The following is a 13,223-nucleotide window of genomic DNA, read 5'->3' as shown; positions in this document are numbered from 1 at the left end:
TCATGAGCGTGTATTTTAATTTCCGTATGTTTGTACAGTTTTTAAAGTTCTATCTGTTATTGATTTCTAATACTATGCGATTGTGGTCAGAAAAGATACTTGATATGAATTCAGTTTTTAAAAATGTGTTGGGTGGCTGAGGCGGGCGGATCACAAGGTCAGGAGATCGAGACCATCCTGGCTAACACAGTGAAACTCTGTCGCTACTAAAAATACAAAAAATTAGCTGGGCGTGGTGGCGGGTTCCTTGGGAGGCTGAGGCAGGAGAATGGCGTGAACCCGGGAGGCGGAGCTTGCAGTGAGCCAAGATAGCACCACTGCACTCCAGCCTGGGAGACACAGCAAGACTCCACCTCAAAAAAAAAAAAAAAAAATGTGTTGTGACTTGTTTTTTTTGGCCTAACACATAGTCTGTCCTGTAGAATAATCGATGTGTGCCACTCAGTAGAATGAGCGTTGTGCCGTTGCAGAGTGAAAGGCTGTGTAAATGTCTGTTAGGTCCATTCTGTATAGAGTACAGTTTAACTGATGATGTTTTGTTGTCTGGATGATCTGTCCGTTCACGATAGTGGGGTGTTGATTACAGTGGAGTGTTGACGTACTCTATTATTGTATTGCAGTCCATCTGTCCTTTAAAGCCTGTTAATATTTGCATCTGTATTTAGGTGCTTGAGTGTTGGTTGCATGTGCATTTAACGGCTACTTTTTTTTTCATTATATAATGATCTTTTTCTTTTTTTGACTTAGAGGCTATTTTATCTAAGTATAGCTACTCCTTTTTTTGTTTCCGTTTGTATGGGATATCTTTTATCATCCCTTCACTTTGTGTATGTCTTTATAGGTGAACTGAGTTCCTTGTAGGCAGTACATAATTGGGTCTTTTCTTTTAATCCATTCAGCCACTCTGTCTTACTTCATGTATATTCAGGATTATTACAGGTAAAAACATACTATGCCATATTTTACTTCTTTTTTGATTGTGTTGCTACTTTTTCTTTTGTTCTTTCTCCCTTCCTCTTTTTTTTCTCTCTGATCTCTCTTTTTATTTCTTCCTTTTTTTACTTTCCTCCTTGCCTTTCCTCCGGTCTTTATTTGTAGTAAAGTAATTTTTTCTGGTGGTGTGTTTCAATAACTTGCTTTTCATGTTTAGGGTGTCTATTGATTTTTGCTTTCTGGTTACCATGAGGCTAAACAACATAATTACAACAAGTTACTTTAAACCGAAGAAAACTTAACTTTGATTGGTCTCAGCTACTCAGGAGGCTCAGGTGGGAGGACTGCTTGAGCCTGGGAGGCCGAGGTTGCAGTGAGCTGAAATCGTGCCACTGCACTCTCCAGCCTGGGTGACAGAGTGAGACCATGTTTCACAAAATAAATAAATAAATAAAAATACAATAGCTTATAATGAATTCTGATTGTAAATTTTGAGATGTTAAGGTATGAAGAGGAAAGTGAAAATCATTCATAATCTCATTACCCAAGGATAACTACTTCTAATATTTTGGTACATACTCTTCCTAATTCATAATCCCCTCCCTCTCTCTCACACACAAATGTACACATAAAATAGATACACTTTACACACATATAATTTTATTGTAACATTTTCAGAAACACGGTTTTGTAATTATTTAAAGATATTGTGAATAAATTTTGTGAATAATACATAACATATTATACATCTTAGTTTTCAGATTTTGTTTTCTGCTGTTTGGGGTGGCAGGTTCACTTTTTGCTAACATGAATCGTCTCAGTGTCTTTGATTTTCCTTCTCTCCTCTAAGCTATTGCTTTTGGAAGGGGCGCCTGGATCTCCCTCCTGTTTACTTGGGGGCAAACACATAGTATCATGGGGTTTTGAAGACATGTTGCCTGCGCCAGATAGCAACACTGGCTGTAGTTCTGAAAATATTAGCGTTTTTGTCCTGTGATTAATACTAAGATGTAAATAAAGTGGTTTTAGATAATTGTAGCAAATGATCCAGATATAACTGTGTGTTTTAGATCATTGTAGCCAATTATTTAGATACAACTCGGTGAGTACTTTTTAATTAAGAGCTCAAGATTTCTACACAGTATGTTCATTGTCTGCTTTATTTGTGGAAACATGAAACCTGATACTGGGTGAGGTAAGAAAATGGGTAGGTTTTACTATCACAAGGAAAAGGTAATATCCATACACTTTTGCCAAGGAGGCATGGATTAGTTAAATTGGCTTCTGGATCTTTGAGTTTGGGTATGATAGCCTTACGTTGAATTTTTTGGTTACTGCTTGATAATATTTATTTTAGTAATTGATTGTGTGTGTTAATGAACACTCCTGTCCTAAAAGCAAAAATGAAGTGGTTCAAGGGAGCATGAATTGTTAACATCTCCTTTAAACAAATAGGCTAGGTTAAAATTTCTTTACAGAGCTTTATGGTATTACATGTGACTTTATTACACTATTACATGTCAACAAAAATGGCAGAAGCTCTCTTAACTGACTTGCCAGATGTATTAGCTCTCTCCATTCACTCAATAAAATGTCCATTTTATTGAGTTTTAATCCATTCGGAATCAATTTAGAAATACTATCTTATTTAATCTGTACCCTGTTTAAGCTGGCGACTGGATTATAAGAGTATGTGTATTAAATATTTTAGAAGGATAGGTTCTTTTAAATAAATAAAAATTATCACACAGGATGTCTTAAACTTTTTAAAAAGAGATCTGATTTTAGATTTTGTTAAAATACTAGCCTACATAAGTATTCTTTTTATGAAATAAATACTCATATAAACTGTTTTTCCAGAAATTGACCCTGAATAGAGATTTCAGATCGTTGAAAACGGAACCATTTGAAAACTGCATTTCCTTTTCCTAATTTATTTCAGTTACTCAATAGGATTTTCTCATGGAATTAACTTTTCTCTCAGCGTAGTTACATAAGCTTACTCTTGTAATCATGAAAAATAATTACCCATTTCAGCACTTACTAACGTGGACTTTACTTGAAGGGTCTCTGGTTTTAAAGTTAGAGCACATGACTAGAGGCAGATGAAGAGTACCTCATCATTCATGGCCACTGAGTCTCTATAATTTTTAAATGCCTTTGGAAAGCTAGATCTTATACTCAAAAGCATGCTTTTGTGTTAGAAATCTTTTAGTGAACTACTTACTCGGGTGATAATGCTTTTAAAGCCCTGCTTTTCTCAGAATAAACTGAATTACGTGTTACCAATAACAATGCCACATCATTTCAAAGGAAACTGAATTAAGTAATCCAAGTCCAGGTTGCTGAAAACTAGATGACACAGGGTAGGCACTGTTTTGGTTACCATGCCAAGGATCTCTATTAGTCAGCTTGGGCTGCCATAATAAAATACCATAGAACTGGGTGGCTTAAACAACAGAAACTTATTTTCTCACGGTTCTGGAGGCTAGAAGCTGCAGATCAGGGTGCTGCTGGTTCGGTTCCTGATGAGGGCTTTCTTCCTGGCTTATAGGTTTGCTAACATCTTGTCCTCATGTGGCAGAGTGAGAGTACCGTAGTCTCACCTTCTCTTCTTAAAATGACACCAGTTCTATCAGATTAGAGTCCCACCCCTATGACCTTATTTAACTGTTACTACCTTCTCACAGGCCCTGTCTCCAAATTTAGCTACATTAGGGTTTAAAGATTCAATATGTAAATTTTGAGAGGGCACAAACATTCAATCCATAAAAGAATCTAGTATAATTAACAAGGATTGTTGAGCCCTGATATCTTGTTATACCTGCCTGTGTCCCTTCCCCCATTCCCCTCCACTCTAATTTCCTCACAAACACTCAGATGATTTTTTTCAGATACTGTTTTTGTTACTTACCAAACTAGTAACATTATGAATTATAAATGTTATTAGCCATTGACTGCACTGACTGACCACAGTTGACTGGGAGGGCTAGATGGTGCATGGTGCCTTCTTTGTGGTGGAAGATATAGGTTGGAGAAATGTGGTTGGTAGCAAATGCTGTCTGGTTTGAACAGCTTTGGAGAAGTCTGGTTCTAGTTGGTTTCAGTTCTCTCCAGATGCCGTTTGAATCTAAACGAATTTTCTAGTTCTTATCATTACAGAATTGTCTTCTGGAACAATTATTTCTTTTTATTATGTGGTAGCAATATGGATGTAGTTTTGTGAATCATTAAGGCATTTTAAGTCATCTTCCACTCTCTTTTATTTTTCAACTCTTTTAGGTTGTTTGAGGGACGTTCATCAAGGAAACCAGATAAACTTAAAACGCTCCTCTGCTTCTTTAGAACAGTCACAGAGAAAAGTAAACTCCTTTCATTCTTACCGTAATTTTTCTTGATGATGGGAACAGTTCAAGTCAAGTGACATGTGAGGAACATTTTGTGTTTAACGTAAACCTTCCTCTCCCAACCACATTGAAACAGTAGTAATGATGCGACAAGATAACCTAGATTTTATGCTTATGTTGTGTATAAGCATAAATGTGTGCTATAAATGTAAGGGGACGGGGTTTACATACTCTGAAATTGGACCCATATTCTCTGAAATCTGTAGTATACATCAAAAGATTTTCATGAATAAAAACCAGAGAAAGTATATTGACCAGGAAATAAATTTTGGATGCTCTTTACTTAAAGAAACGTTCAGTAGTTTATTTGCATAAGTCAACTGACACGTTGCTTTTCTACCCATTCCTCTCTTTTGTGCCCCCCTAAGCCCTTTGTGGAGCTCTTATAAAAACTTTTGTACTGAGTTTTGTATCTCCTTCTTCCTCTATTGAACTTTAACATTCTTGCTTCCCCAAAACCCGATAGCAGCTGAGACAGTAATAGTAAATGTCCAACAAATACTGGTAATGACCAGCTGATAATAGATTGGTATTGCCACTCTTATCTCAGAAGCTGAATGACCATGGTCAAGTTTCTTGACACCTCTAAGCTTCAGTTTTATCATCTATGAAATAATATACTAATGGCCATTACCTTACAGGGTAGTTATAGATATTAAGAAGATACATGCTTAATAAATGTAAGCTATTGTCAATTGGTAGCCTTTCCTACAAGTGGATGTAAACCAGAACACCTCAAAAGTTTCTTTGTGCTAAGTAGGTAATGTCAACCTGGTCAAGTGAAATGGCTTTTTTTCAGTTCTGGGTTGTAGGATTGTCTGAAAACATGTCTTTGAATAATTTTAAGGTCATTTTTCTCATATCCTTCTTTTACTCTTGCATTACAATGTACTTGGCATCTTCTCCTTTGAATGTATTGCTATTGGACATTGTTAAATTTTTAGAATGAAATCAATTATCAAGATTTTGATATTTAAGGGAAAATTATATGCTTCTTTGATATGGAATTATTTATCTCATAGCTTATTGAATTTCAGTTTTGTGTCCTGTGCTGAATGAAATATTAAAATGCAGAATCATTTGGACCTCTGAGACACAAAATCAAATTAGAATTTGTAATGACTTGTTAAAAAGATGACTACGTAAGGCCAGGTGTTGGTGGATCACGAGGTCAGGAGTTCCAGACCAGCCTGGTCAAGATGGTGAAACCCCGTCTCTACTAAATACAAAAATTAGCCAGGTGCGGTGGCGGAGCCTGTAATCCCAGCTACTCAGGAGGTTGAGGCACAAGAATCACTTGAACCCGGGAAGCAGAGGTTGCAATGAGCTGAGATTGTGCCACTGCACTCTAGCCTGGGTGATAGAGCAAGATTCTGTCTAAAAAAAAAAAAATGACTACTTTTTTTGGCTATTCTAGGTCTAGTTAGAATTATTACTATTGGTCTTTTTTGTTTGTTTTTTACAGTACTTTGAGTTGCCGTTTTATGTAGAATTATTATAACTAAGTAGTACAGAGTTTACTTTTTTGTCCTGGGAGTCAAATCATGTATGTCTTCTCTAAAAACTAACTTGGCTTTCTAAATTTTAGGGTTTCAGATACTTCGAGGAAAAAGCTAAAAGTTTGTTTTTTCAACTAGAAATGTATATGCCATTATAAGTATTGGGAATTTGAAGAAATAAATTATAACTAGACATTTTATTTTCTGACTTTTTCAGTGTACATGTTAATAAAGTTCTTTGTAGAAATGCAGTACAACATTGCTCTTGGTCTGCAGTATGTAAAGCTAACGGTTTAAAGAGGAAATACTAAAGAGAATAAAAGAGGTTTGCAGTATAATGAGTCATTGTGTAGAAGTTCTGGAGCCTACTCAGTAGACTTGAGAAGCTTAATGTACCATATTTCATTGAATCTAAGATGTCATAGATTATTTTTAAAAAGTGCTATTACATTATATACCTCTAAGAAGGAAAAAACACTCAGGACAGGGAGTTCAGTAGGAGACCTAACCCACAAGGCTGGTACACCCAGGGATAAATGAGAAATTAACTTGGCCATCCAGAAAAGGGACCATAAAGAAACATGCAGGTCTCAACCTTGACACTACATAGAGAATGGAAAAAAAAAAATTTCTCAGAATTTGAACCACAAGCCCTAAGCTTTGGGTGTGCAGCCTTACCACCAGTGTGGTCTACAAAGGCCTGCCCCAAAGGATTAATTCAGATGGTATCGGGCTGATAGCGTTCCCAGATGACAGCAGAAGCAGATGTACATCTTCTCTGGGAAAATTCTTCTCTAGTCAAGACCTATGGTAAGATATCTCCATTATAAAAGATGTATTCCAGTTTCAGAAATGTAGTATGTGAAAAAACCTGGCTTTTAGAATTGATAAAATAGAATTCCATCAGGACCAACCTTTCAGTGTTATTAAACATGTGTATTTTATATTTGATGAAGATCTTGAGACTGAAATATTTTTAAAAGCCTTCCGAATTAAATTACTTTCTGTATAGTTTTAGATAAAGTATCCATGACCTGAATGTAGTATATATTGTGATTTTATTATGGGAAGTATTTGATGAATTAAAGTATCCTATTCTGAGATGAAAGTTGCCTTGTTTTGAAAGAAAGCTAACAGACGTGCTCTCAAGGCATTTTTTGTTAATCTAAGAAACCATGTTCTTCTGCCTTTTCTTGGTTTGCCAGCAGTGTTTATGAATTTTTCTTAGCATCTCTCAGTATGTATGAAGGACATTTGATGTTCTTACTTCTCTGCTAAGTTACCGAATGACAAGAGAGATGTTTTCTATTATATTCATAGAATTGCTTCTCTAGTGTTTGAGTTGTTTGACCACTTACTTGTGAGTTTTAAATATGTTATCCATTTATCTTAAAGTTAGGTATCTAAAGAATGTAAGACCCATGTTAACAAAAAATTTTGTTTTCTTCTGTAACTGCTCCATATGGTTTTTGAGTGGTTCCTGCTTTTGACTGAGAACAAGGAGAAATGTGGAATTGTGTGCATAGGAATGAAATGATGGCCAGGCTTTTACTGGGTTATACACTGTCATCACTAATAGTTCCTGACATCTCTCTCTTTCCTTAAGAGCTTTTTTCTATTCAAGAAAATAGAAATGGCATGGCCTTTTTAGTTTTCTTTGATTTGAATCAGACAGATTACTCTGGCCAGCTGATTTATTTGTTTCTTTTGCTACTAGCTTTAAAAAATAAATCTGACTAGAAGAGGATCTCATCCTCTTAAAATTATTGACTACGTTAATAGTACTCCATTTTGCTCTTCCCAAATTTATTGCTCCTTGAAAAATATGTCATCCTTGTTCTGTAAACTCTTAGAACCAGTAATTTCTTCTCTGGCTAAGACTGCTACTAACAAGTAGAGTGATTGCCCACTATTTAAGCCTGAGACTTAGCTGTACTAACTCCAGAGGATGTGCAAATGATTTTCTTTTTAAATCTGTGGCATTTCAGTTTACTATAAAGTACATAAATGTGTATTTATTCACCAGTTTTTGAATGTAGGGTTAAGTCCATTCTTTGTAAAGGAGTCTACAAATTTGAATTCAATTTTGTCTTTACTGCATAAGCTGTGCCAGTTATACACCCTTTTTTTAATGCTTTTTTTTTTTAAAAAAAGTGTATTCAGCTTCAAAACTTTAGCAAAAAGTACTAGCACTCAAATTCTATGTTGTGCTGTTATTTGTATAGTTTTGTTTAGTGAAGCCTTACTGAAGGAGTTTTATACAAGGAGTTTCTACTGTAAGGAGAATATTATTTTCAATCAATATTCTGTTATTTTCCAATGCTAGGCTTTGTATTTCCTGGTTAGTTTTATAGTCAATGTTAGACCTATTCTTTTACCGAGTGTGTGTGCGTGCGCGTGTGTATAATGTTTTCAAAATTGAAACTTATTTTGGGTATGTTTTTCTTTTATTGCTTCTGTAGAACCTACTGGGTTGGTGACATTTACAAGAGAGTCTTGAAGATTTTCCAGAACGGGAAAGGTAACAATAATAATAAAAATAATCCTAGACCCCTAGAATTAGGACTCTTGCACCATGAGAGGATTCTGTTTTATAGCACCTGGAAAGATGGTTTTCCAACCTCTGTTTATCCTAGTGCCAGGGAATTTGTTCTCGTAAGTGATCCATCGATAACTCTCATTTTTGAAAAGGTTATGCCTTTTAAATCAAAGTCTGTAACCCTTTGATTTCTACCATTTTGTCTTGGTTTTGTCTTCTGAAAGAAAGTGCTGTTTAAAATTGAGGAGTGTTGTATGTGAAGACACTAACAAAAGGAACACCAATATATAAATGTTTCTCCTTACCCTTTGTTTGGTTACCCTTTGTTTGGTTAGTGTTTGAACTTCATGGCTTTTCTTCTGGAGGACAAGATTGAGAAAAGTCTTTTTATTATTTACATTTTAGTAAATAGTAACCATCTAGAGTTTGAGTGGCAAGAATTTTGAAGTTTGGCTGCCCTTGTGTACTACTGGTAGATTTTGTGGAAGTTGCTATTTACTGTTTGTTTCTTATTTATCAGAAAATAATTGAGGAGATAGCAGCCAATCTGAGCTAATTCAGATTTGTAAGGTCCTTAGTGTCCTGAAATAGTTAACATATTTCTTAATCTAAAGCAAGTCCCCCAATGCACTTAAAGAAGTGTGAATTAACTTTTTAAATATGTTTGAGGACATGGTGAAGCATACTAAACACATATTTAACCAATGCCTCCCATTTTCACTTTCTAATAATTTTATGATAGTTTGCAATTGTTTTGTTTGGAATTAGCGATGAATGGAAATCACTTTAAAAAAAGTTGAGAAGTCATATCTGCTTAGGTGGCTTTCCTGCGGTGTTTGCATCCATCAAAGATGTTTATTTGTGAAGCGAAAGATAAAGAAATTTACTTCAGAAGACTGAGTGCATGGTTTACGTGATTATTAATACAGGGAAGTAGTTAAAAGGTTAAGAAACCTGAAGAGAGAAAAAAAAATGAGCCAGAAAAAGATGAGAGCATGTACAGCATTTTGGCATCATGGCATGTTAGATCTGAAAGGAACCCCAGCCGCCTACTAAAACTCTTGATAGCTCTGTAATACCTGCAACAGTCAGAGACTGGATAGCTTCAGTGATGGCAAATCCACTGTTTCACATCAGTTTGTTCCATTGGTGGCTGCTTGTGTTATCATCTCATGCTTTTATTCACTAAAAATGTTTTCTACATTCATTCTCCACCATTCCTGGTTCTTCCTTCTAGAGCTACATAAATAAATCTGAATTTCTAGTTTTCTTTGACATTTGATCTTCCTTCATGTATCTTAATGGCTTCTTAACCTACTTTCCTCTCCAACAGTGCATACAAGTTCATACTAAACTGATTCGTTTCTTCTATTTTACATGTAATATGGAGTCTAAACCCTTTATCTCTGCTCTTAACAGAGTAGATTGGTTGCAGTTTCTTGGGTGCAGGAATGAAAAAATGAGTACATTGGCCTCAGCCTCCCATATAGCTGGGACTGTATATAGGTGCATACCACTACACCTGGTTAATTTTTGTATTTTTTGGTAGAGACGGTGTATCACCCTGTTGGCCAGGTTTGTCTCGCACTCCAGACCTCAAGAGATCTGCCTGCCTTGGCCTCCCAAATTACTGGGATTACAGGCATAAGTCACTGCGTCTGGCTTGGGGGAGTTACTGTTGAAGTATTGTCTTTGTATCCCAAAGCAGGCCCTTCTGAAGCTGATGATATTGACGAAAAACTCCTTCTACTGAAGTCTTTGCAATGTATAATCTTTTCATTTCCATTTTCCTACATACCGTTTCTATTTAATGGTTCCTTGTATTCCACAGACTGTGTTTTAGTATTTATAAGTATAGTATTCGTTTTCTATGTGGAAAATGGAAAACGTATTGGCCTTTTTTTAACATACAAATGAACTTCACAAGCAACAATTTTTCAAATCAGTTTTCCCTGTTGTGAATCTCGAAGTGGGTACATGATGCACTTTGCCATTTAAGGTAAAGTACACATTTATCCCTTATCTCAGTATAGTCAGAAGTCAGGTTCTTATTGTATGGTTGGTAATGCAAATATTGATAAGGTCATGTCGATACTTGGTATTTAGAAGAATTCTGAAATAGCACCTGTTAATCTGTAAGTTTTATGCGTTTATTACTTTTTTTGAGTTTTTTATAGTGTTCCCAAAGTTGACTCTCTCATAGGCTATTAGTAATAAGTTTTACTTCTATCTCTTCTGGCCTCAAGTGCACAAGATGTATTTTCTTTAGGTTTAGCATATAATATAAATTCAATTGTTTATTTCAGATTTTGGAAGAACAAAGAGGAACTACAGAATCATTGCTTACATTGACACAATTGAATGGGTAAGTGCATCATGCACCCACTTTGATGGATGTGTTTTTTTTGGATGAACGTAAAAATTGACCCTGCTGTTAAAGCTTGAAACTTGGATCTGTTTTATCTGAGTTCTCTCCTCAAAAAAAGACCTTCAGGAAGTATCAGATAACTGAAACATACCAGATCACAGCACCACATGCCTCCTGCCCTTCCCTAATTTCTGTTCTCTCACACATTGTTATGTTTCTTTCCTGCTCCTATTAGTCAAGCCCATGGATTTGGGACTGAGCTCCCAGCTCCTGGGCTGCAGCACCAGGTTAAAGCTTTCTTCCTTGGCAGTACTTGTCACCTCAGTGACTGGCTTTCTGTCCCGTGAGCAGGAGGACCTGGACAAAACTCCTGGCATTTGGGTAATAACATGAACAACCATCTTAACTGTTATTCTTTATTGAAATTTTACTTTCTAACTACTGCCTTCTTGTACATTATCTCCCATTCCTTTGACTTCATATCTCTTTTTTTTGTTGACTTTACAGTCAAGGAACTTAATGCTCCCTAAATCCGAATATTAAGGTTAAAAGGAGAGAGGAAATGTGTGCAGAGAAAGTATACTTTACAAATGAATTAAACATGGATTCTGAGATACAGGTTTATAGATTTACCTAGAGTTTTGAGTTCAGGTGAGTTTTCACAATATGCAGTAAGTGGAAAAGAATCCCAAAGTAATTGTGCCATGAAAAAGGTAGATGTTGAAAACCAAAAAGATTTCACTTCAGTATGGCACTTTTAATTCAAGAATACTAGCCACCAAATGAGTTTTTCTGACTGTAATCATTGCTCTTTAAAAATTAAGAGATGTATTAATAACTTTTACTTTACTTTTAGTACAGCTTCTGAATTTAGTTATCAATAGATAGGACAAAATAGATGAGCATCTGCTTCCCTTCCCCCTAAACAATGTATTCTTACTGAAATGTAATATATTTTTATTTATACTTGAAGACAGTGTTTTTCAATCTTTTCCATGTTAGTAGTTCAGATCTTTAAGGACAGAGGATGTGTACTGGGGGCAGCTTGTGGTCTTAATCCTAACTGGCATTCTGATATTTTAGATTATTTCTTTCATATTTGTGAGTAAAACTTCTGTTCCAGTAGGATGAGCCTGTTTACCTTGTGACTGCCTAATAGACCTGTTGCTTTATATGCCAGTTTTTAGAAGCAGACAGATTATGTTACCTGGATTAAAATGTTTTTGACACTAAAGGGTAGTACCTTAAATTTTTACTTATGAGTTACTTAAAGTACAGGTTTGCTTAAATTATGGAGATTGAGTTTCCATAACTTTCACCATAGTGAAAATGGAAAGCAGGGAACATTCCACAGCAAACCCTGAGCTTATTTACAGTTAATTGTCTGAGCAAAGCAAGCATTCACACTTGTGTATGTGTGTGTGTCAGTGACAGATGAGCATGGTACTTGAAGCATAGTTGTGCTTCTTCAGATTCCAATATCCAGTAATTTTATCATGTGGTTAGAGTAATTAATATTAAATTCCCAAGCCTACTTGGGTGTATTGTATTTGTATTTTAAAATAATGTTTTCAAGCTACCAAATAGACATGTTATATATTTCTTCTGAATTAGAAAACGTTATTTGGATTAATAGTTAATAGAATCATATTTTGTGTTTATTATGTCTTTTTCTTTTTTTTCATGAGACGGAGTTTCACTCTCGTCACCCAGGCTGGAGTGCAGCGGCGCGATCTCAGCTTACTGCAACCTCCGTCTCCTGGGTTCAAGTGATTCTCCTGCCTCAGCCTCCCGAGTAGGTGGGATTACAGGCACACGCCACCACGCCCAGCTAATTTCTTGTATTTTAGTAGAGATGAGGTTTCACCATGTTGGCCCAGGCTGGTCTCGAACTCCTGACCTCAGGTGATCTGCCCTCCTCGGCCTCCCAAACTGCTGGGTTTACAGGTGTGAGCCCCCGCACCTGGCCTATTATGTCTTGAAAGTGCTTGCATCGTCACCTAGATTATTTTTTATCTTTCAATGTGAGTTTTTATTGGTTTATTGTATGTTGTTTATTTTCTTTTTAGGAAGCCATCATTCTTTAAAGGGCAATGACCAAGCAGTACCAGCAGAAATTGAAGTACCAGCAGAAGGCTAAGAAGGTTAGGAGAAAAAGACATTTTGTATTTTACTGTTTTTTTCTTTTTTTTTCTTTTTTAGAGGGAGTCTTGCTTTGTCGCCAGGCTGCAGTGCAGTGGCACGATCTCGGCTCACTGCAACCTCTGACTCCCTGGTTCAAGTGATTCTCCTGCCTCAGCCTCCTAAGTAGCTGGGATTATAGGCACACACCACCACATCCAGCTATTTTTTGTATTTTTAGTAGAGACCAGGGTTTCACCATGTTGGCCAGGATGGTCTCAATCTTTTGACCTCCTGATCCACCCACCTCGGCCTCCCAACATGCTGGGATTACAGATGTGGGCGCTTGGCCACCT

General features: G+C 36.2%; 1 long non-coding RNA gene across 1 annotated transcript in view, besides 1 other annotated feature; it reads left to right on the top strand.

The window, feature by feature from the left end:
* LOC442028 (uncharacterized) overlaps positions 1 to 13,223 on the top strand; it is a 78,658-nt gene that overhangs the window by 3,667 nt on the left and 61,768 nt on the right. Inside the window, exons 2-4 of the long non-coding RNA NR_037597.1 lie at positions 8,302 to 8,360; positions 10,685 to 10,743; positions 12,816 to 12,890. This is a non-coding gene — a long non-coding RNA (uncharacterized LOC442028). The remainder of the gene's footprint in view (positions 1 to 8,301; positions 8,361 to 10,684; positions 10,744 to 12,815; positions 12,891 to 13,223) is intronic.
* Positions 202 to 387: a silencer, noted in NCBI's record as "fragment chr2:95609034-95609219 (GRCh37/hg19 assembly coordinates)". NCBI's record gives its function as "represses an EF-1alpha promoter that drives an FKBP-Casp9 reporter gene in an ReSE screen in K562 erythroleukemia cells {active_cell/tissue: K562}" and the evidence as "EXISTENCE:reporter gene assay evidence [ECO:0000049][PMID:32094911]".

This window comes from Homo sapiens, chromosome 2 (genome assembly GCF_000001405.40).
Source record: "Homo sapiens chromosome 2, GRCh38.p14 Primary Assembly".
NCBI classification, from domain to species: domain Eukaryota; kingdom Metazoa; phylum Chordata; class Mammalia; order Primates; family Hominidae; genus Homo; species Homo sapiens.
This window is presented reverse-complemented; position numbering and strand designations above follow the sequence as displayed.